Source organism: Homo sapiens, chromosome 8 (assembly GCF_000001405.40).
Source record: "Homo sapiens chromosome 8, GRCh38.p14 Primary Assembly".
NCBI classification, from domain to species: Eukaryota; Metazoa; Chordata; class Mammalia; order Primates; family Hominidae; genus Homo; species Homo sapiens.
This window is the reverse complement of record NC_000008.11, coordinates 17,984,627-18,010,371: the sequence shown is the minus strand read 5'-3', so window position 1 is coordinate 18,010,371 and position 25,745 is coordinate 17,984,627. Positions and strand designations below refer to the sequence as shown.

The 25,745-nt window shown below is 36.1% G+C and overlaps 1 protein-coding gene across 31 annotated transcripts in view; it reads right to left on the bottom strand.

Moving 5' to 3' along the window:
- The window catches only part of PCM1 (pericentriolar material 1), a 106,961-nt gene that overhangs the window by 19,577 nt on the left and 61,639 nt on the right, over positions 1 to 25,745 (bottom strand). For 13 of the 31 annotated variants that reach the window (NR_148032.2, NM_001352650.2, NM_001352653.2 and 10 more), the window contains 7 exons: positions 24,753 to 24,925; positions 24,285 to 24,413; positions 20,393 to 20,513; positions 18,672 to 18,830; positions 16,753 to 16,889; positions 3,975 to 4,109; positions 628 to 825 (listed from right to left, as the gene is read on the bottom strand). Coding sequence is in view for 30 of the 31 variants with exons in the window: in NM_001352650.2 (NP_001339579.2) it covers positions 628 to 825; positions 3,975 to 4,109; positions 16,753 to 16,889; positions 18,672 to 18,830; positions 20,393 to 20,513; positions 24,285 to 24,413; positions 24,753 to 24,925 (1,052 nt within the window). In the remaining variant the exon portion in view is untranslated. Of the gene's footprint in view, positions 1 to 627; positions 826 to 3,974; positions 4,122 to 16,752; positions 16,890 to 18,671; positions 18,831 to 20,392; positions 20,514 to 20,787; positions 21,421 to 24,284; positions 24,414 to 24,752; positions 24,926 to 25,745 lie in introns of those variants that run through there. The other 18 variants (NM_001352633.2, NM_001352635.2, NM_001352648.2 and 15 more) reach the window with 4 other exon arrangements.

Genomic DNA, 25,745 nt, shown 5'->3' with positions numbered 1-25,745 from the left:
ACTTCGTCTACTTTAGATTCTAAGAAAGAAGAGCCATCTCTGTTTGGGTCTTGGCTTGTTTCCTTCTCATAAAAGAGGGTCAGGAAAAGGGTACACATCTAGGGAAAAGGCTTCCTGGTATGCCTCAACTTGAGGCAGAACAGTCATCCAATCTCACCTGTGATCAAAATTAATTTGACAAGGCAGAACAAACTACAGGGAGGTAAAACCAAAGCCCTAACTAATAAGCATTTGTGTTGACTGGGAGTGACCTCTGGGTAATGCATATTCTCGAAGAATCTACAGGGATCAATAACAGACATGGCAGGCACCTGGCACTGGCCCAGGATCAGATCCCAGTCCTTCTCTCATCTTTCAAGACCTGAATACAGGACAATAATGTGAACTGGTTATCTGACAATGTACATTTAACATCAATTCCTGCCCGCATTCCTGATCTTTAGCAACTGCTGTTAGTCCTCAAATTCCACAAGTGACTAGCATATGTAATGACTTATAATGTGATTAACTGGTATTACTAAAAACAACTACTTTTGCTGAGGTAAAATGTGATTTCAGTTAATAATAATGATCAAGAACTGTATTTATGTGTCAATTATCCTAAAAATCAAAATGAACGTTATTTACCTCTTTGGCACAAGATTGTATCACTCCAGTTGCTTCTATTTTCCTTTTGCATCTCTGTTTAACAGTTATACTATTATTATCCAAATCTTGCATAAGCTTAAAGAAAGCCAATTCATTGAACAACACTTCAGATATCTCTACAAGAAGATCTTCTCCACAGTCTTTCAGTTTTCTGCCAGCAAATTTTGCCAGTGAATCCTATTCAAAGATAAACCAAATAATTTTTAAAGACAGTAAACTTCAATTATAAAATACTATTACTTTTAAGTACTGAAAAACTTAAAACTAATGTTTATGATTACTAAGGAAAGATAGGTTGTTAGTATTACTAAAGAATACTGCTATATTACTAAGTGGGAATGTTGCTAGTCCTGCTTAAAGAGTATACACAAGGGAAGAACATATATGGTCATCTATATTTAGTCCCTATTTGATGTAACTGCTGGGCACAAATGAATTCAGACAGGGATTTCTAATACCAGAAAGTTCCCTGACAGTACAGGAGATACAATATATACTACAGTAATAAATACTAAGTGCTATGAAAGGAAAAGACAAAATCTTCCACCTCTAAATGTACCATTAGAATACTTTTAAAGCTTCCACCTTTACTTAAGACAACCATTCTAATTTAAATTTTTCTTCAAAAGTAAACATTAGTTCTATTCAAGTTGATATATAGGATCATGTTTAAAGCTTCCTCCTTTACTTAAGACAACCATTCTAATTTAAATTTTTCTTCAAAAGTAAACATTAGTTCTATTCAAGTTGATATATAGGATCATGTAAAAGAAAATAGGATTTCAAGACCCTCTACATTTATTATGTCAAGGAGGAAGTTAAGCCCTGGCAACTTGAACGTTGGTGATTTCTTCTTCTTAGACAACACATTAACTCTTTTCCTCACTGTTCTTGTTCTGTAAATGACTAGGAAAGATCAAGAGACCAGACCTCCTGCCTCCCAACCACTGATGTTTGTTACAGATTAACTGCCTCCTTTACTGTCCTGTACCTAAGTCAGATCAGGGGGCAGAAAAGACTCATCTTCCACCTTTTCTGAAACAAAAACATCACCTCAACTAATTAGACTGTTGTAACTATGCATTAAAGCCTTATATAGAAAGATGCTGAAACTCTGTTAAGCTTCTCTAAACTCTGTCCACATAAATTAGCAGTCCCCAACCTTTCTGGCACCAGGACCTGGTTTCACAGAAGACAACTTTTCCCCCAACCATAGCTTGGGGGAAGGTTTCGGAATGATTCAAGCACATTACATTGACTGACTGTGCCCTTTATTACACTGTAACATATAGTGAAATAATTATACAACTCACCATAATGTAGAATCAGTGGGAGCCCTGAGCTTATTTTCCTGCAACTAGATGGTCTCATATGGGGGTGATGGGAGACAGTGACAGGTCAGGAATTAGATTCTCATAAGGAGCATGTAACCTAGATCCCTCACACGTGCAGTTCACAGTAGGGTTCACACTCCTATGAGAATCTAATGCTGCTGCTGATCTGACAGGAGGTGGAGCTCAGGCGGTAATGAGAGCCGTGGGGAGGGACTGTAAATACAGATGAAGCTTTGCTCACTCGCCTGCTGCTCACCAGCCTGGGGGTTGGGGACCCCTGATATAAATGATCCCAAACTTCTGATGTCTATTCTTTGGAATCTGTGCTTCCCAGGCAGCTATCCCTCCAACACTGTGCTTGAATAAACTCTCTTTAAAGTAGATTCTGACCCTTTTGATTATTTTAGGTTGAGAATCTTCAAATAAGGAAGTATACTGTATACATTTTTAGTAAAACCACTCCTCTTTTTCCTTCTAAAATATGGACTACCCTATTTAGCAAACAGGCAAACAACTATGATGTTCAATGCCTGCTCCTCTCCCCCACCAAAAGACTATCTTATCTAGTACAGTTATGGTAAAAACGTACATATGCTGGGTGCTTTGTGGAAAAAACAATTCTTGAACGGGTTTCAGAAGGAAAAATGTAGAAGATGGTAATTTAAGCTCTAGCTCATAAAAATTTTTCAATACTCTGGGCAATATTTAACGTAAATTAACTTGTATTCTTCATGTATGTCCTCTTGTGAAAAAATCAAGAACGGGATGAAAGAAAAGCAGTCAAACCTTAGACTGAGAAAAAAGTCTTTAGAAATTAATGCTTTGGGATCTGTCCACAATTATCATAGAAGGCAAAACTGAGGAAGGGCTACATGGATCTTGATAAAAAATATTTAAATTATAATTTCTCTTTCAGCCTTATTCTAAAATGGAGTTTCCTACAATGCACAACACCATCAATGTTTTGTAGTCCTTAGAAATTATCTGTTAGTACTAATAACTGCTAACGGGGCCAGGACAATTTGTCCTTTAGTCCTAATACTAACAAAATGGAAAATTACAGTGATACAAATTTGCATCAAGCCCAAGGTTTAAAAAAAGTTAATAGTGATTATCTAAAACCAGTTTAAACACAGAAATAAGAAGCAAAGCCAAGTTTCATAAGAAAATTCTGTAATAAAGATGAGAAGAAAAATGTATCACCTAATGTGGAGTAAAAATACACATCACTGAACTATCTCAATGGAAAAACATTCAGGTAAATATAAAGGTAAAGATGTTTGTCATATGGAATAAACAAGGTAATTTTATTAACACTAACATGGGATTTCTCAACCTTGGCACTGTTGACATTTAGGGCCAGATAATACTTTGCTATGGGGTACTGTCCTGTGTATTGTCAAATGTTTATCAAGATTCTTCCTGGTCTCTACCCATTAGTTGCCAGTACCTGTCCTCCTCTCAGCCCTCCTACCTTCTCCACACTACTTGCTGTGATAAACAAAATGGCTGCAGACACTGCTAAATGTCTCCTAGAAGGCAAATTCTCTCCCAGTTACTGACTTACTATAATTTAAGCGTACTGGTACACCCTAAAAAGTCTCTACAACCAGCTGGTCTCTGGCTTCCAAAATTTCCCTGATTAGTCAAATTACTTTAGCCAATTATTTTAGAAACAGCCACAGAATACTTTGTAAACATTTCAAACTCAAAATGTTTTCAGTGAGAAGATAAACCAAACCAGTAAAAGCTTATAAGAGACATGCCTTAGAGATGACCAAATTAAATGAAGATACAAACAGGACCTAATAATACAATATTATTTTAACCAAGTGACAACTAAAAAGTATTACAACATCATCCCAAATGGACGCTAGATTGGATGTCCACCAGAATAAATTGTGTAATGCAAGAAAATGCCTCACCCACCCCCCGAAAAAAAACCTTACCACACAGTACATATTGGTAAATCATACAAGTATAAACTCTTACCTGTAATATACTTCCAAGTTGTTTATGAAAGAACTTTACAAACTCTTTGCTCTCATCATTTTGCTGGGTAAGGGTCAAAACCATGCGCCTTACTGAAGTTAGAAGCTGCGAGGAGCATACTTCATCCATGTGCTCCTGAGAAAAATCCTAGTTGGTTAGAATATAAACTTACCTATTGTTTAAAAAAAGAAAATCAATCCATATAATACAAAATGTTAATTTTTAATTTTCTTGCCGTAGATGCTCCTCAATTTTCAGATGTCTGTTTAGAAATATCCATTCATAAGAAAAGCCAAACTCCTACTTTATTCATACGTATTGAGAGGTTTGGCAATTTTGACCCACGAAAGCAGATGATGGCCAGTAAAAGAACTGGCTGATCCAGTACTTTTCAGCACTTTCTTTCTGTACTTTTCTGTACCTTAAGGAGAACTATTCATGCTAGTTTCCATTTTGCCAATCTTTCTGTTTTCATTCAGTTAATTTCAAATACTCTTACAAGCATACTCACCTTGTACCCAATTCCCTATTATTTTCTAACTCAGGGTTTCTCAACCTTCACATTATTGACATCCTGTGCATTGTAGGATATTTGGCATCATCCTGGCCTCTACCCACTAGATGCCAGTAACACCTCCTCCCTACACCACCTCGACAACTAAAAATACCTTTAGACATTCTGAAATGTCTTGAGGGTTAACATCACCCCCTAACTTTCTTAACAAATCACTTCAGTCAAGTGTCTCTTCTTAAACTTCCTTGAGAAGCATGTGTGAGCTACAAAATAATATGAATCATGGTTAACTTTCTGAGGTTGAGTCCATAAATCATCGATATCAAGTAATCTCAAGGTTCTAATCCTTCTTATTCTACTAAATCCATTTAAGCAAATCCTAAACCTTTTCTCAGTTCAGTCCCCCCCACCAATACATATCTATAAAATGAGGGTGCCAAACTAGATGTTCAAGGTCCCCTCTCAGACTTAAGCTCATTTAAAATAATGTATGTGTCAAGACAGGCGATTTAAAAAAAAAAAAAAACAACAACAACAACACAACTGTCCCTGTCTTCAGAGAGTCAAATACTATGCAGGAGTCAGATACGTATATAAATAATCACTATAAGCTCCGTGCTGTCTGGTAGATAACACTTTTTTAACTGCAGGTATTCTTATTTATCACAAAATACAGTGGCTCACAGGAGACATTACTTACTGAATAAATAAATATTTTTAAAAAGCACCCACTAGGTGCTCTAAGGAGCTGTAGGAGCATACTGGAGGCAACAACAAATATTTCTGAAGAAATATTTCAGCCAGGCAGAAAAGAGTGAAAGTATTTTACCTCTTGGATAGACAAGACAACTTGTACAAACAGCTAATACGTGAAAAAGTAACAGTAGATATGGAAAATGTTGAATAATGTGAAGTGAATGTACCTAGATGGAGAGTAGCTAGAGGGGGAAAGCACACCAGATCCAGCAGTGAAGCCACTTGAAGACTAAGGAGTTTGGGTAGGACACGGCTTAGTAAAAATGCACTTCATGCCTATTACGACAGGTAGTCTAAGCAAAAGGTAAGAATATGAATTAAGGTCATGCTACTAGAAAGAAGAAAGTGAAGTCAAATTGATGACTCTAAGGAGGAGAATACATTTTTGACTCACTAGTGATGACATAAAGAGAGTCAAGAAGTCTAACTCAGGTGACTGGGTGTAATGCTGCCTGGGCATAATTAACAAAGAAGTTCTACAGTCCTACAAAAAAAGTCAAGATCTGAAGTGAAATGAGACATCATAAATAATTAAAATCAGATTATTAGTTCTACTCTTTACTGGCCTCAGACACTTTTTGAAATGCTAAATTAGTATTTATTATTTCATTTCCTCATGAAATGAAATCACTTAAATCAGGGCTACACAGGTAAAGTGAGAAGGAACAATTTAGATTTTACACAAGGTGACAAGATAAGTGTTGTGATTTAGGTAACTCTAGATATGCTAGTAGCGCTTAAAAGGTCAAATGGAAAACCTATTAAATGAGTGTCACTAGCCACTTTAGCCAACTAAAATACCATTGATATTTCCTAATATCTTAGACATTTAAGAAAAATCACTTTAAAAAATGTAATTCTTTTAAATTCAAGACTTTTTAAACATTTCACAGACTCAAGGTGACTTCTATTTCGCTCAAGTATTAAATATTTTATTGTATAACAGTTTCTGAGCAGATAGCATGTAACTTACATAATTCTTCCATCAAATCAGACACAAAAAAGTAAAAACAATCAATTTCCTAACTGAAGGCTGCACTCCCTAAGCATAAGGATAGATCATTTAGGCTTTTTTTTTAACCCTTATAAAGTAACTGTACATATCAAATAAATATTACTACAAGCATACCTATTAGTTTTTAAAAGACATGTTGACAAATATTTATTGTACTATTAATGCTAAAATAAAAGTATAAAAGCAAAAAGGCAATACTTTAGGCCTAAGATGAAAGCAAGCATTAACTAAGAAAATTTAAACCAATTCACTTGAGGCAATGGTTTCAAGCTCTGAGATAAATATCTATATAAAAAATCTATATTCTTAAAATTTATAAGTATATTCTTTTATGGAAGGTAAATATATACATATATTTATAAGTAACAGGAAATAAATTCACAAAACACTTGGTAAAACTGATGTATTTATGCCTTATCCCTCAAATTCTTTTTATCCAGTATCTTAAGTGCTTCTTGGCTGTAGGTACTATGAGATACTATTCTAGGGGGGAGATACAAATAATTATGATCCTTTGTCATAAGTGCTATAATGAAGGCATGAATCCAGTATCTCAGGAACAGTGAAGAGAGGAAGGAATTCTGCCTGTAAACACATGCAATAACATTTGGGCTGGCTCCTGAAAAACAGGAGAAACTGACAGAGAAAGAGGAGAAGGTCATTCTAGGTAAAGGACATAATGTGGGCAATGTGCCTTTTTCAATAATGTCAAGTAGGACACAAGGCTTAAGAGGCCAGACCAAGCTGTAAAAGGTTTTATGAGTGACAATGAACCTGGTCTTTATCCTATGGGCCAGTTGTTTTCACACTTAGAGCGTCTAAAGAGCTCAACTACAGTTGAGGGTTGAAGATTCCAGTCATTTATTAATTCATTAATGTTTACTGAGTGTCTACAATGTGCATGTACTATTTTTGGACAGTGACCAAAAGAGATTAACATCTCAGATGTCATGGATCTTGTATTTTAGCATGGAGAGGCAGACAAATATTACATAGGTTAAAGGTGGCGTGCAAGCACTAAGCAGGTAAAGGATAAGGCAGAGGTTTACTCAGCAAAAGTTAACATTTGACCAAACAGTTGAGTTCAAGAAAACAAGCCATGCAGGTAGGTATGTGAAGGAAGAGCATTCCAGGCAGAAGTATTAGCAAGTGCCAAGGCCTCAGAAGTGCTAACAACTCTAGTAGGAGAGTTGAAAGGTCAAAAAGTGGGCGAAGGACATGAACAGACACTTCTCAAAAGAAGACATTTATGCAGCCAAAAAACACATGAAGAAATGCTCATCATCACTGACCATCAGAGAAATGCAAATCAAAACCACTATGAGATATCATCTCACACCAGTTAGAATGGCAATCATTAAAAAGTCAGGAAACAACAGGTGCTGGAGAGGATGCGGAGAAATAGGAACACTTTTACACTGTTGGTGGGACTGTCAACTAGTTCAACCATTGTGGAAGTCAGTGTGGCGATTCCTCAGGGATCTAGAACTAGAAATACCATTTGACCCAGCCATCCCATTACTGGGTATATACCCAAATGAGTATAAATCATGCTGCTATAAAGACACATGCACACGTATGTTTATTGCGGCACTATTCACAATAGCAAAGACTTGGAACCAACCCAAATGTCCAACAATGATAGACTGGATTAAGAAAATGTGGCACATATACACCATGGAATACTATGCAGCCATAAAAAATGATGAGTTCATATCCTTTGTAGGGACATGGATGAAATTGGAAACCATCATTCTCAGTAAACTATCGCAAGAACAAAAAACCAAACACCGCATATTCTCACTCATAGGTGGGAATTGAACAATGAGATCACATGGACACAGGAAGGGGAATATCACACTCTGGGGACTGTGGTGGGGTCGGGGGAGGGGGGAGGGATAGCATTGGGAGATATACCTAATGCTAGATGACACATTAGTGGGTGCAGCGCACCAGCATGGCACATGTATACATATGTAACTAACCTGCACAATGTGCACATGTACCCTATAACTTAGAGTATAATAAAAAAAAGAAAAAAAAAAAAAGAAAAAAAAAATTTAACAGATCTCTCCACAAAAAAAAAAAAAAAAAAAAAAAAAAAAAAAAAAAAAAAAGAAAGGTTAGAAGCAGCGGCAAAAGGATAGTAAGGCCATTTAGGAACTGTTGCAATTGCCCAGAACAAGGCTACGTGTTTCTGTTTTTACATGGAATAATCTGGACACGATCAGCTGACTTTTTCCTCTCAGCTGTAAAGTCAGATACAGAGAAAGCAGTTTCTACAGGTGCTTTCTCAAAGATCTCTCTTCTCTCAAAACATTCCAAAAAAAAGCAATTACTTCTGCTGAGGGAAGAAATATGAGCACAATGGAAGCAATTCTCTGTGGTACATGTCTTACAAAGAAAAGTATGAGTACAATATAAGAAACTAGCCCAGTGACAATGTATTTTGTAGTTTACCATATCTAGATGAAAAGAAAACAATTACTTTTCACTTCTAATTGTTAAAACTTCCATTTTAAATTAGAATGTAATGAATGCCATCTCAGAAAGAAGTCCTGTCTTCCTATTCCATTTGTTGCACATGTCTCCATCTGCCCTGATCAATGTTGTTAAATGAAATTAATAGTACTGCTTACCAGTCTGATACTATCAATGTTGATGGGAATATAAACTGGTTAGTTTCTCTGAAGGACAATCAGCTTGTCTAAAAAGCTTTAAAAATGTTTATGACCTTTGAACTAAAAATTTTATGTCTAAAAATTGTTTCTAGAGAAACAAAAGTAAACAGATTACCTTCAATCATTCAATAAGTGTTTGTAATAGTGGAAAAGAAACCAGAATAAACACAAATATTTAACAACAGGGACTGAAAAAATAATTAATAGAAAATTGTATTTTATGACTACTTGACCTCATAGCAGCCATCAACATAACTAACTCCTTGCAGTCCTTCTTGGTCAACCCTGGCTCCGCTTTTGTACAACTTACAAATGCTGAATCACCTGGTCCCACATCACAGTTGCAAGGCCCCTTTCTATTCTCAAATCAAATGCCCTGGCTTTAGGCAGCAGCTATATGCTATAATCTACCTTATGTCTATCTCCAGCTGTGCCTGGAATTAGCTGAGTAACCAAATGACTACTTGACCTCTCTACGATTGTCTAAAAGACAGTTCAATTTTAAAGTACAAAATAAAACTCTTGGCTGGCACAGTGGCTCGAGCCTATAATCCCAGCACTTTGGGAGGCCCAGGCGGGTGCATCACTTGAGGTCAGCGTGGTCAACATAGGGAAACACCATCTCTACTAAAAATACAAAAAGCAAGCCAGGCATGGTGACAGGCACCTGTAGTCCCAGATACTTGGGAGGCTGAGGTGGGAGAATCGCTTGAACCCAGAAGGCAAGGGTTGCAGTGAGCCGAGATCGCGCCACTGCATTCCCGCCTGGGTGATAAGAGTGAGCCTCTGTCTCAAACCCCACCCCCCTCAAAAAAAACAGAGCTCTTCATCTCCCCCTTCTCCCAAGCCTTCTTCATTTTGGTAAATCGTATTTCCTCCTAGCCAGTTTTCTCTCTCTCTCGACACTCTACCCATTAGTAGGACCTACTGATTTCCTAACTATATCCCAATTACGTATTTCTTTATCACCACCCTTATCTAAGCCACTATCATTTCTCTTCTGATCTCACTGCACTCCTGACCCCCTTATAATCAATTTTCTAAAAACAAGCCAGACTTTTTTTCTCTGCTTAAAATCTTCTAGGAGTTTCCCTTCAAACTTTGAGCAAAGTCCAAACTTCTAACCATGGCCTGTAATATTTTATACAATTAGCCCTTGCCTCCCTTTCAACTTAGTCTCATACAAATATCCTCCAACCATATAGACTTTCCCTCTAGTTCCTTCAACACGCGAAGCTAATTCTCACCTTAAGGCCAGTGCACTGTCTAGAACAATCCTGGTTTACACTGGCTCCTTAGTCACATCTCTACTTAAATGTTCCCTCATTAGAAGCTTTCCCTGATCATCCAATATAAAACAGACACCATCATATCACCAAATTTTAATTCTGAGCATGGCCTGTATCATTAACTGATAAACAGTTACTTATATGTCTTTTATTTACTTATGTTATTTCAGAGTGTATTCCCACTCTAGCATGCAAGCTCCATGAGAACAAAGGCCTTGTTCACTGCTAGGTCTGCCAAACCTGGCATTAAGTAGGCATTTTATAAATATTTTGGAATGAATGTTGTGGATCCATTAAAAAAAAAGGCAGGGGTGGAGCAAGATGGCAGAACAGAAGCCTCCACCAATCATCTTCCCCTTCTGGAACACCAAATTTTAACAACTACACACAAAAAAAGCACCATTATAAGAATAAAAACCAGGTGAGCAATCATGGTACCTGCTTTTAACTTTGTATTGCTGAAAGGGACACTGAGGGTAGGAAAGACCATCTTGAATTGCTGACGCCACCCCTCCCCCAACCCCAGGCAGCACTGACTGCAGCAATGCAAGTGACTCCTTCTGCTTGAGGAGACGAGAGCAAGGAGTAAAAAGGACTTTGTGTTGTATCTTGGATACCAGCTCAGCCACAGCTACAACAGGGCACCGGCAGAGTCGTGAGGTCGCCATTCCAGGCCCCAGCTCCAAGATGACATTTTTAGATACACTCTGGCCCAGAAGGAAACCCACTGCCTTAAAGGGAAAGACCCAGTCCTGGAAGGATTAATCTTGGCTTAATCTTAACCTGCTGACTAAAGAGCCCTTGAACCTTGAATAACTGACAGTGATACCCATGTAGTATGCCATGGGCCTTGGGTGAGACTCAGAGATGTTCTGGCTTCAGGTGAGATCCAACGTATACTGAGCTGTGATGGCTATGGTGAAAGATTCCTTCTGCTTGAGAAAAGTAGAGGAAAAAGGGGACTTTGTCTTGCACCTTAAGTACCAGAGCGATCACAGTGGGGTAGAGCACCAAGCAGGCTCCTGGGATCCGCAATTCGAGAACCTGGCTCCTGGACAGCATTTCTGGACCTGCCCTGGGCCAGAGGAGAGCCCACTGCCCTGAAGGGTGAGTCCCAGGCCTGGCAGCATTCACCACAAGCTGACTAAAAAGCCCTTGGGCTTTAAATGAATATTAGCAGAACTCATGGGCCGGTGGTCACAGTGGTAGCCACCAGGAGAGACTCCTTTGCTTATGGAAAGCAGAGGTAAAAGTGGGAAGGACTTTGTCTTGTGGTTTAAAGGCCAGCTTAGCCACAGTAGGACAGAATACCAGGTAGATTTCTAAGCTCAAGGACAGTATCTGTGGACCCATTAGGGACCTGGGGGAACTCACTGCCCTGAAGGGAAAGACACAAACCTGGCTGGCTTCCCCACCTGCTAATAGTAGGAACCCTAGGGCCTTGAGCGAATTTAGGCAAATTTAGGCGGTAGTCAGGTAGTGGTTACAGAGGGTCTTGGGCAAGCCCCAGTGCTGTGCTGTGCTGGCTTTAGGTATGACCCAGCACAGTCACAGTGGTAAGTCACCAAAGGGGTGCCTCCATCACCCCATCTCCATCCAGCTCCAGGCATTTCAACACAGAGATTCCATTTATTTGAAAGAAAGTAAAGGAAGAGAACAGAAGTCTCCACCTGGTAATTCAGAGAATTCTTCTGGATCTTATCCAAAATCACCAAAGTGGTATACCGCTATGAGTCTGCAAAAAGCACAGTGTTTTTGGGCTTGGGACCCAAGTCCCTTTGAATACCTGGAAAGCTTTCCCAAGAAGAATGGGCACAAACAAGCCCAGACTGTGAGGCCTACAAGATACAAGGCCTATATATAACTCTTCAATGCCCAGACACCAACAAACATCCACAAACATCAAGACCATACAGAAAATCACGACCTCAACAAAGGGACCAAAAATCATGACCTCAACAAAGGGACCAAATAAGGCACCAGTGGCCAATCCTGGAGAGAGATATGTGACCTTTCAGACAGAGAATTCAAAATAGCTGTCTTGAGGAAACTCAAACAAATTCAAGATAACACAGGAAGGGAATTCAGAATTTTTTTTTTTTTTTTTCAGACGGAGCCTTGCTCTGTCACCCAGGCTAGAGTGTGGTGGCACAATCTCGGCTCACTGCAACCTCCGCCTCCCGGGTTCAAGCGATTCTCCTGCCTCGGCCTCCCAAGTAGCTGTCATTATAGGTGCGCACCACCATGTCCAGCTACTTTTTTTTTTTTTTTGTATGTTGTAGTAGAGGCGGGGTTTCACCGTGTTGGCCAGGCTGGTCTCAAACTCCTGACCTCAAGTGATCACCCGCCCCAGCCTCCCAAAGTGCTGGGATCACAGGTGTGAGCCATAGCACCTGGCCGGGAATTCAGAATTCTATATTCATAGATAAATTTAATAAACAGATTGAGATAATTTAAAAGAATCAAGCAGAAATTCTAGAGTTGAAAAACGCAACTGACATACTAAAGAATGCATCAATCTCTCAATAGAATTGATCAAGCTAAAGAATTAGCTTGAAGACAGGCTCTTTGAAAACACACAACTTGAGGAGACAAAAGAAAAAAAAAGTAAAACACAATAAAGCACACCTACAGGATCTGCAAAATAACCTCAACAGGACAAATCTAAGTTATTGGCCTTAAAGAGGGGGTAGAGAGAGACAGAGGTAGTAAGCTTAACAACATTCAAGTACAAGAAGGTTACAGAAAACCAGGATAGTTTAATCCAAATAAGACTATCTCAAGGCATTTAATAATCAAACTGCCAAACATCAAGGATAAAGAAAGGACCCTAAAAGCAGCAAGAGAAAAGAAACAAATAACATATAATGGGGTTCCAATATATCTGGCAGTAGACTTGTCACTAGAATCCTTACAGGTCAGGAGAGAGTGTCATGACATGTTTCAAGTGCTGAAGGAAGAAAACTTTTACCCTAGAATAGTACATCCAGCAAAAATATCCTTCAAACACGAAGGAGAAATACTTTCCCAGACAAAAGCTGAGGGATTTCATCAACACCAGACCTGTCTGACAAGAAATACTAAATACTTTATTTCCATCTAAAAGAAGACATTAATGAGCAGTAAGATATCGTCTGAAGGTACAAAATTCACCAGTAATAGAAAGTACACAGAATATTATAACACTGTAATTGTGGTGTGTAAACTACTCTTAAGTGGAAAGACAAAATGATGAACCAACCAAAAATAGTAGCTACAACAACTTTTCAAGACATGGTACAGTAAGATATAAAGAGAAACAACAAAGAGTTAAAAAGCAGGGAAACAAAGTTAACATTTGCATAAGTTTTCATTTTGTTTGCTTGTTTGTTTATGCAATCAGTGTTATCGGTTTAAAATACTGAGTTATAAGACAGTATTTGCAATCCTCATGGTAACCTGAAATCCAAAAACATACATATAACAGATACGAAAACAATGGATGTTAAAAAACAAGAAAAGCATGAGCAAACCAAACCCAAAATAGAAGAAATAATAAAGATCAAAGCAGAAATAAATGAAATTGAAATAAAATACAAAAGAGCAACGAAACAAAAAGTTGGTATTTTAAAAGATACATAAAATTGGCAAACCATTAACCAGACTAAGAAAAAAAGACAAAAAACCCAAATAATATCAGAGATGAAAAAGGAGACATTACAACCGATACCTCGGAATTCAACAACACATTAAAAAGATGATCCATCGTGACCAAGTGGGATTTATCCCAGGGATGCAAGGATGGTTCAACATAGGTAAATCAATCAATGTAATACATCATATCAACAGAATGAAGGACAAAACCCATATGATCATTTTAACTGATGCTGAAAAACCATTTGATAAAATTCAACATCCTTTCATGATAAAAGCCCTCAAAAAACTGGGTATAGAAGAAACATACCTCAACATACTAGAAGCCATATACAACAGACCCACAGCTAGTATCATACTAAATGGGGAAACACTGAAAGCCATTCCTTTGTGATCTGGAACACAACAAGGATGTCCACTTTCACCACTGTTATTCAACATAGTACTGGAAGTCCTAGCTAGAGTAATCAGACAAGAGAAAGAAATAGAGGGGATCCAAACTGGAAAGGAAGAATCAAATTATCCTTGTTTGTATATGATATATATATAATCTTATACTTGGAAAAGCCTAAAGACTCCACAAGAATACTATTAGAACTGATCAACAAATTCAGTAAAGTTGCAGGATACAAAGTCAACACACAAAAATCAGTAGCATTTCTATATGCCACCAGTAATCTCATTTACAACAGACACAAATAAAATTAAATACCTAAGAATTAACCAAATAAGTGAAAGATCTCTACAATGAAAACTATAAAACACTGATGAAAGAAATTTAAAAAGACACAAAAAGGGAAAGATATTCCATGTTCATGGATTGGAAAAATCAATATTGTTAAAATGTCTGTACTCCCCGAAGCAATCTACAGATTCAATACAATTGTGATCAAAATACCAATGACATTCTTCACAGAGAAAAAAGAATCCTAAAATTTATAGGAACCACAAAAAAAGCTCAGAACAGCCAAAGCTATCTTGAGCAAAAAGAACAAAACTGGAAGAATCACATTAACCTGCCTTCAAATTATACCACAGAGCTATAGTAACCAAAACAGCGTGGTACTGGCATACAAACAACAGAAACACAGACCGACAGAACAGAACAGAGAACCCAGAAACACAGACCGATAGAACAGAACAGAGAACCCAGAAACAAATCCACATACCTACAATAAACTCATTTTCAACAAAGGTGCCAAGAACATACAGTGGGGAAAAGACAGTCTCTTCACAATAAATGGTGCTGGGGTAACTGGATATCCATATGCAGAGGAATGAAACTAGACCTCTATCTCTCACCATATACAAAAGTCAAATCAAAATGGATTAAAGACATAAATCTAAGACCTCATACTATGAAACTATTATATGAAAACAGTGGGGAAACTCTGCAGGACATTGGTCTGGGCAAAAATTTCTTGAGTGATACCCCACAAGCACTGGCAACCAAAGCAAAAGCAGACAAATGGGATCACATCAAGTTAAAAAGCTTCTGCACAAGAAAAGAAACAAACAACAAAGTGAAGAGACAACCCACAGAATGAGAGAAAATATGTGCAAACCATCCGACAAGGGATTAATAACCAGCATATATAAAGAGTTCAAACTCTATAGGAAAAAATCTAATAATCTAATTTTAAAATGTGCAGAAGATCTGAAGACACACTTCTCAAAAGACGACATACAAATGGCAAACAGGCACATAAAAGGTGCTCAACATGATCACGGAAATGACAATCAAAACTACAACGAGAAATCATCTCACCTCTGTTAAAATGGCACTTATCCCAAAGACAGGCAATAATAAATGCTGGCGAGGATGTGGAGAAAAGGGAACTTTCATACACTGCTGGTGGGAATGTAAATTAGTACAACCCCTCTGGAGAACAGTTTGGAAGTTGCTCAAAAAACTGAAAATACAGCAAGAGCTACCATATGATCCAGCAATCCCACTGCTGGGTATATACAGAAAAGAAAAGACATCAGTGTATTAAAGGGCTATCTGCACACTCATGTTTGTTGCAGTACTGTTCACAACAACCAAGATTTGGAAGCAACCTAAGTGTCCATCAACAGATGAACAGATAAAGAAAATGTGGTACAGACACACAATGGAGTACTATTCAGCCATAAAAAATAATGAGACCTTGTCATCTGCAACAACATGGATGGAACTGGAGGTCATTATGTTAAGTGAAGTTAGCCAGGCACAGAAAGACAAACTTCATATGTTCTCACTTACTTGTGGGAGCTAAAAATTAAAACAATTTAACTCATGGAGATAAACTGTATAAGGATGGTTACCAGAGGCTATGAAAGGTAGTAGGGAATAGGGAAGATGGTTAATGGGTACAAAAAGTAGTCAGAATGAATGAATAAGATCTATTATTTAACAGCACAACAGGGTGACTACAGTCAATAATTTAATTATACATTTTAAAATAACTAAAAGAGTATAACTGGATTGTTTGTAACACAAAGGTTAAATGCTTGAGGGGATGGATACCCCATTTACCATGATGTGATTATTACATATTGCATGCCTGTATCAAACTATTTCATGTACCCCATAAATATACACACCTACTATACACTCACAAAAACTAAAACTAAAAATAAAGGTGATAAATCCTGAAAAAATGCAGCAGAAAAATAATGATCTAGAAAGAAGTTTATGATATAGTAAATGAAAAAGGCAGAATATGCACATGTGTATAAAATATTACTGAAAGGTTCAGAGAATGTTGGTAGGGTGAAAAAATTATGGGTGATAGTTTTTTTGTTGTTGTTTACCTATACCGTTGAACTTTATCACAATAAGGTCTTCTGTATGAATTAAAAAACAAAACATAGAAGGTTTCGTTTATTTTTTAAAATAATTGCTTACCTTCAAAAAAGGAATGACTTCTTTCATAATTGCTTTAATTTGCCGGTCCAGCTGCTGAGTATCAATTCTAGGACATGGGATGGTAGAAACTTCACTTACAGGTTGTTGTGAACTACGATTTTCAATAACGGGAGTTTCTAATTTTTAAAAAGAAAATACATTAGCCTAACAAAGCCTATTATATATACATATATGCCTTTATGTTGAAATTTGAAAAATATTAAATTTGATGATTTTATGCTAACATAATACAAAGAAACATGTTTGTAGTTTAAGCACCCCTATCAATTAAAATAAAGTAGTAATAAAACCACCATTAGATATCACATATTTAAATTTTTTACATAGAATTATTATTACTTGTAATCAATAAAAAATATACCTTCAAAATCTAATACCTGAAACCACAAAAATTCTAGAAGATAACATTGGAGACACCCTTATAGACACTGGCTTAGGCAAAGACTTCATGACCAAGAACCCAAAAGCAAATGCAACAAAAACAAAGATAAACAGATGGAACTTAAACTAAAAAGTTTCTGCACGGCAAAAGAAATAATCATCTGAGTAAACAGACAACCCACAGAGTGTGAGAAAGTCTTTGTAAACTACGCATCTGACAAAGGACTAATACCCAGAATCTACAAAGAACTCAAACAAATCAGGAAAAAAAAAAAAAAAAAACCATCAAAAAGTGGGCTAAGGCCAAGTGTGGTGTCTCACAGTTGTAATCCCAGCACATTGGGAGGCTGAGGTGGGCAGATCACTTGAGACCAGGAGTTCAAGGCCAGCCTGGACAATATGCTGAAATCCCATCTCTACTAAAAATACAAAACTTAGCTGGACATGGTGGCACATGCCTACAATGCCTGCTACTCGGGAGGCTGAGGCATGAGAATCACTTGAGCCTGGCAGGCAGAGGATGCAGTGAGCTGAGATTGTGCCACTGCATTGCAGCCTGGGCAACAGAGCAAGACTGTGCTCAAATTAAAAAAAAAAAAAAAAAAAAGTAGTAGTAGTAGGCTAAGGATATAGACAACTCCTCTCAAAAGAAGACACACAAATGGCCAAAAAACTTTTTGGTGATGTTGAGTGAAAAAATGCTCTAACATCACTAATTATCAGGAAAATGCAAATCAAAGCACAAACTACAATGTGATACCATCCTACTCCTGCAAGAATGGCCGTAATTTAAAAATCAAAAAATAATAGATGTTAGTGTGGATGTGGTAAAAAGGGAACAATTTTACACTGCTGGTGGGCATGTAAACTAACTAGTACAACCACTATGGAAAACAGTATGAAGATTCCTTAAACAACTGAAAGTAGATCCACCATTTGATCCAACAATCTCACTACTAGGTATCTGCCCAGAAGAAAAGAAGTCATTATATGAAAAAGATACTTGCACGTGCATGTTTATAGCAGCACAATCTGCAGTTGCAAAATATGGAACCAGTCCAAATGTCCATCAATCAACGAGCGGATAAAGAAAATGTGGTATATGTATATATGTGTAGATAGACAGATATATTTGTTTATTTATTTATACACCACAGCATACTACTTAGCCATAAAAAGGAACAAAGTAATGGCATTTGCAGCCATCTGGGTAGAGTTGGAGACCGTTAATCTAAGTGATGTAACTTAGGAATGGAAAACCAAACGTTGCATGTTCTCACTCATAAGTGGTAGCTAAGCTATGAGTATGCAAAGACATAAGCAGGATACAGTGGACTTTGGGGTTTCAGGGGAAAGGGTGGGAAGGGGGTGAGGGATCAAACAATACACACTGGGTACAGTGTATACTGCTCAGGCGATGGGTGCACCAAAATCTCAGAAATCACCACTAAAGAACTTATTCATGTAACCAAACACCACCTGTTCTCCAAAAACCTACCGAAAACAAAAATATATACCTTCTAAATTATTAACTGTAGTACCTGCACCAGCACCATCTCCATCCTCAATAATCCTGCAGGTGCATCTCATATTTGAGTTACTTTCAGCCTCAGTCTTCATACGCTCATATTCTCTCATTCTGGCTAATGCTTGATCTAAGTGAATCACGGTGTTACCTACATTTGGAACAAAAATATTTTTTGAGTATGTAAAAGTGAACTTTTTCATATATTCCTCAAAATGCATTAATAAAAAAATGTCCAAACAAAAGGGAGGAAAATTAGCTTTAACAAGTTCTACACACTATACTACTTGAGCACTTCATATACATTGTCACACTTATTTAATCCTTAAAATAATCCTATATAGTAGATGACATTACTTTCATTTGCAGAAAATTTAAGTAACTTGCTCAAGCTTTCACAGACAGTTCAATGTAGGAACAAGGATTTAAACTTAGTTATCAAACTCTGAAGCCCATATTTATTTCATTTTGTTGTTTCATTTAAACAATACAAGTGAATTCCAAAATGTCATGCAAATTCTGATGAAAACAACGCAACCTAAAACAAGCAAATTAGGTAAGAAAAAGGCCTATCAATGAAATTTCCCAATTCTATGTCTACTTCAGACACAGCTACTGGTGCAGGTTTGTAAGAAAAAAAAAAAAATACCAGTAAATGAAAGAAAATACGTAGGAGTCGAAGTATTCTGGCAACTCAGAAAGAGAGGGACAACCTAAGGGGTGAGGGTTGGCAGGCCACACAGTAATTTTTCTCTGTAATGGGATGAACTCAATGCAGACCCAAATAAGCATTTACTTAGAGGTCAGCTAAGGCTGAGTCCTCAATAATTACAATAAGCAAAAGGAAGACTTTTGTTTTGGCGAACAGTAGGAATGTAATGATAGGGCAAGGCTAAGTCCTTTTCTTTATAGTGGAAAAATACCTTTGAAATAATCTAAGTCTTCTCTTCATCACGTGAACAAACACTAGAGTAACAGGACATTACATTATTTTATCAACTAAGCACCCTGGATGGCAAATGACTGAATTCTCAGGTTCTCTTTTGATTGGCCACAGTCTAGAAACGTATCAAGTATCTACATATTTTTCTTTTCCTTAAATTTCCTTTCCAAGTCTAGGACTCGAATTTTTTCTCCACTGCAGCCAGGCAACCCTCTAAACCTCTTTTGTTTTACAGCTGATGGGAGAGGGGGAAAAAAAAAAAAACCCAAACAAACAAAAAAAAACAACCAAAACCATTTGCTATGCCTGAGAATTACTTGAGGTTTTCACTACAGGTTATTTAAGAAAACTGACTGCTTAACTCAAATTACAAAGTTAATATTTTTATTAAAAATATGATTAGATGAGGCCTGAATTGTTCCCATGAATTAACTAGATGACCTTAAACGATGACCTTTCCTTTAAGGAAAAGGAAATTAACATTTTCTGAACTCAAGCAAGTAAGTTACATTATATTTTCACAAGAACATAGCAAGGTAGGTTAAAATTCCCATTTCCTTAGTATATGCAGAGTCAAAAATGTTGGATGATTTGCTCACAGGGTTAAGAGTCAGAAGATTCTTGATTTTAGACTGATAGATAATTAAGTCCACATTCTTTCAACCACACACACTTCGCCTTTCTAGACTTGTTTCCTTATCAACGCCAATTCAAAGACTGGACCAGATCAACTTAAAGTTGTTTCTAAGATTATAAACAATTCTGCTTACCTAGATCATCTGTTGCAAAAGGCTCAAAATTTGATGATACAGACAGGACACTAGCATTATCAGCATCATTTTGCTCACTTATTTTATGGGTTTCTCTTTCAAAGTTCTTCTCAAAAGTTTCCTAAGTTACAGTAAAACAAACAAAAATCACTAATACTTCTAAGAATTTCATATTAATAATCTAACAGAGATAACTAAGTATTTACATAAAATTGTACACTTAAAAGATATTCATAAGTTTCCTCAGTATTCTGTCCAAACAAGATGATAATATAACCAAAGTTATTAAACGCTGAATACAGAGTCACAGAGAACAGTGATATAAGTAGCCTTGCAGAATATTTATTATGTAGATAAACACACACAAAGACAGCTACTGATTAAATTCTAATTTGGCAAAGTTAACATTTTACATTATTTCTATACTCTCAGGGACATTCTCCTATCTCCAAATGCTAACAATGTCTAGTAGCTTACTCTACCTGGTTGTCTCACATCAGAAAAGAAAACATCACAACATCATTTGCATTTTTAAAAAATAAACTTTATTGAAATATAATTAATATACAATGCACTCACTTTAAATGTACAGTTTGATGAGTTTTGACAAATGTATACACTCATGTAACCAGATTCCCTAAAGATAAAGACCATTTCCACTGGCCCAGGACGTTTCTTCACAACCCTCTACAGTCAATCTCCACCACACCCTACTCATGATTTCTATCACTGTAGATCAGTTCTGCTGGTTGTAGAACTTCATACAAATGGAACCAGCCAATATACACTCTTCATTGTCTGACTTTTCACTTAGTATGTTTCTGAAATGAATCCATGTTTTGTGTTTCAGAAGTTCAGAAATTATTTTTTAATGGCTGCACAGTATTCCACTGTATAGATATACCACAGTTTGTTTATCCATTTATCTCTTGATGCTTCAGTTTGAGGCTATCATGACTAAAGATGCTATGAACATTAATGTGCAAGTGTTTTTGTGATGCATATTTTCATTTCTCTTGGATGAATACCTAGAAGAGAAATTGCTGGGTCACATGCCACGTTTATGTTTATAAGCAACTGCCAAACTGCTTTCCAAGTGGTTGTGCAATTTTACATTCTCATAAGGACTGTGAGAGTTCCAACTGTTCCACATTCTCACCAACACTTCTTATTGTCAATCTTTTCATTTTAGCCATTCTTGATGTGAAGTGGTATTTTCTGTGGCTTTAATTTGCATATTAGCCATTCATATATCTTCTTTCATTAAGTGCCTGTTCAAATCTCTTGCCCAGTTTTTACTGAGTTGTCTTACAACTGAGTTGTAAGCTTTATACAGTCTATATATCAGACAGTTGTCAGATATATATACTGGGATTATTTTCCCATAACAGTATCTTTTGAAAAGCAGAAAATTCCTATTTTTGTTAAGTCTAATTTCTTAATTTTTTCTTTTATAGTTAGTGCTTTCTCTGTCCTAAGAAAACTTAGCCTATGTCAAGGTCATAATTTTTTCCCATTTTCTTTTAAAAGTTTTAATAGTGTTGGCTTTTACACGACTTTAGGTCATTTCAAATTAATTTTGTGTATAGTGTGATGGTGGTAGGGTGTCTCACTTACACTTTGATTATGACATTTTACAGTTGTGTTCTTTCCCTTAACTAATGATCTTTTTAAAGTTTCCTATCTTCAATTATGAAATCAAACATTTGTCCCTGATTAAAGGAAATTTAGACATTAAGGAACGTATTTTAGGAATAGGGAAACCATTTTTTTTACTGTTTCAAGTAAGACTTGATGTGCTTCAAGTCTTCAAGACAGATGTGCTTTTACCATTTTATTATCATCGGGAGCAGGAGACACAAAGTGTGTTTTCTTCTTCCTAAACCTCAGTGTCTCCACTCCATCCTCCTTGACTTACAGCTCCCAGATTCCCAGTTTCACTTTCATTTCTCTCTTCCCTAGGCAAGAGAGGTATCTCTTACACATCTTAATATACGTTTGTAAAAGCTCCAAAAATGAAGCTCAAGAAGCATAGAAGCATCTAGAGAATGAGGCTCTGAATCTGTCCAATACAAAAAACACCATATGGCTATTTAAATAAAATTTAAAATTTAGTTCCTCAGTTACAATAGCTATACTTCAAGTACTTGCTAGCCACATGTAGCTAATGGCTACAGCATTAGACAATGCAGACATAAAACAATTCCATCACTATAGAAAGTTCTACTGGACACTGCTGCTTCAGATCTGTGAGTATCAACACTGGATATTGTGGTGCTGCTGATTAAATGGCATTAGTAAAGGGAAGATGTTGACCTTAATGCTGAATTTAAGTTTTGGAAGAAATATCAAAGAACTGATTTAGTTACTTAATTAAAAGTAATACTAAATACAATTACTATCCCAAGTCCTTACGTATCAAGTAGTACAGCATCTTTAAATTTCATTTAACTTTAAAACCTTCTTAGGTTAACTTTATCCTAAACTGTAGCTCAACTTTCAAAATGTGCTATCGATGGTGCAAACCAATGTGCTCCAATCTCTTAAAATAAATGGAAGTAATGCTGCCTGTATGAAACTTGGATAAAAGTGAAAGCACTGGAATTAAGGATATAAAATTATTGAAAAATACGTCTAGGAATGGAGACTGTTCATTCTCTCTCAAGTTGTTTCAGTGCCCAATAAACCTTAATATAATTTAACATCTATTTTTAATGTATTCAAGCAGGTCGCATTTCATTTCCCACAAAAAGGAATACACAATTTTCAATTAGTTATAACAATCCAAAGGAGCAAACACTGACTGACACTAATTTACATTTCACATTGCAAAGTTAATTAAAACCATGTAGTTTTTAGACACAGGTTTATGTTATAGTACTAAAGGAGTCAGAGTCCAGTGGGAAAACATTTTAAACAGAAAAGATGAGCTGGGGAAGTTATTATTTTAAACACGAGTAGAAGTTAAAGAGCAAAAATTCAGAAAAACTCAGAAATTACTGTATCTGAAAAGGAAAGACAATCCTTTGAGAAAACACTGGCTTCAGAAAAAACTTAGTATTAACACTTCAACAAAAGGCAGAAACAGTAAATTCCAACTCTCTACCTATAGCTGATATTTGCTAATCAACTACGAAACTCTTACCCATGTATCTCTAGGTGCTAGAGTTGTCATAAAAAAAGGAATGTATTTGCTATCCCACGACCACATGAAATATTTTACAATAAAATCAAGGCCTGAACCTTGAAATAGGTGATTCCCAAACACCTAGCACATTATCTCCTCAATATACTAGCAGTTCTGTCACTGTTATTCAATCAACGATGTGCTAAGTGCTATTTGGAGGACACAGCTTACTGAATTTATACCATTCTCCTTAGCACTCTTCTCCATTTCCAGGTCCTTTTTACTCTATTCAAAATTTTCTCCATGAATTAGAATACATTAAATTACAATTTTTTTCCTGGAAGACTTTTGTCTAGGCTTTTTTTTTTTTTTTTAACCCAAAGACCTGATTTATCCTGTATTTATTCATTCAAGTGTTTTTACTGTAATCTGATACCTGTTTTACTGAATGTCTTAAATAAATACAACATACATTTGTAAATGTCTTTTAAGAGTCAGCCCCTATACTGGGTAATAACAACATAAATATGGCTATCTCAGACCTCATAATCTATCATACATACATAATTTTTGGTGTTTGCTACCATATTTTGATTGCATATTATATCTCGCCCTCAAAATAAAATAACACATTATACCCAAGTTTTAAAAAAAGCTGAAAATCAAATATATTAGGTCTACCTACAATTTGACAATAATCTATTTAACTTTTATTTACTGCATACTAAAATTATATCTACAATTCACTAATCATTATCAGCTTACATCATCAGTAGTAGCAAGGCTCTCACTAGGAGTAAGTTCTGAGTTTGATGCTATCCAAGTACCAGAGTTTACTGACTTTACATTTTCTCCTTTTTCATGGCTCTCAGAAATATGTCTGGATACTATGTCCTAAATAAGAAAATAAGATCATCATTTATATAAAACATACATGCTTAATCATTCATTTATATTACAGATTCAAAAATAAAAGCAGATGGAAGGAAAAATGTACTGTTTCTACCCTCACAGGTTAAGTGTGAGGAAGTAGACAAAACACTGAAAAAGTACTCAAAAAAAATACTTTAATGCTACTTAAGCTATACAAAAATTTTAAATAAAATGTCAAGAAAGCACATAGAGAACAGATGAAAATTCATATGGCACATGCTTCAGTCTAAGACAGCAACCAGAGATAATCATGAAGAAGGTGATAATAGGGTAGGAAAAATTATGTTAGGTACCAGATACCTGCAATGCATATAAAGCCCTCTGTCTCAAGTAGTCTGTGTTTAGTAGCTGCAGCTCATGGAAGAGTTCAATAAGAAAATGTGGACGAGATTCATTTTGAGAAATTAATGTAGCTACTTCAGAATAAATAGTATCTCGCAAAGCTTCAAACATGGAAAAATCACTCCCAGTTTCTGGAATACATAAAAGACCAGAAAGTTAATATTGATGAAGTACCTTCATGACAACTTTTATTAGCTAGTATCATTACTCTCAGCTTTAAATTATCTAAAAATTCTATTTTAGACAATTCTATTTCAGAGCTTTTAAAGTAGAAAAGAAGCTTAATATTACCAAGATAAATAAAATCTTAAAATATCAAGATATGCATTTTATACTAAAAATGAAACTTTAATGAATAACATTACCTAGCATTACTAAGAACCATGTTTATTTCTGATCATATAAAATATACAGAAAATATTATACATTTTATAGGAAAAATCAGTGAAAATCTTTCAACACTTAGAAATAAGCTAAGTGCTAATTTCTTTTTTGCTTTTGCTAATATGGACTTCATTACAGAAAAGGAAGTTTGTATATTTTGTTAATGTTAAAAAGAATAAACTGAATGCTGCCAATGAAAGCTACTAGATTAAGGTCTATCCAGTATAGTCTACTAATTATCAAATCTCATACATCACACAGAAAAGTGCTGTGATGATGAGTAACCAAATCTGTAACCTAACATAATAGGTCAATTTCACCATTGTGTCTTATTTACATACTCAGTGTATATTGGAGCAGGCAAGTGATCCAACTGAAGTTTTCAGTTTCACAGAATCTAGGCATCACTCTATTATTTAGCTACAATTCGGCTAAATTTACTTGTTGATAACACAAAATTATTACACTCAAAGGTATCCATTTAAAATGTTGAGTATCTTAATACATTGCGCTTTCAAAGAAGTATACAAGATCATAAAAACTCATTTTTGTGAGAGGAATAAGAAA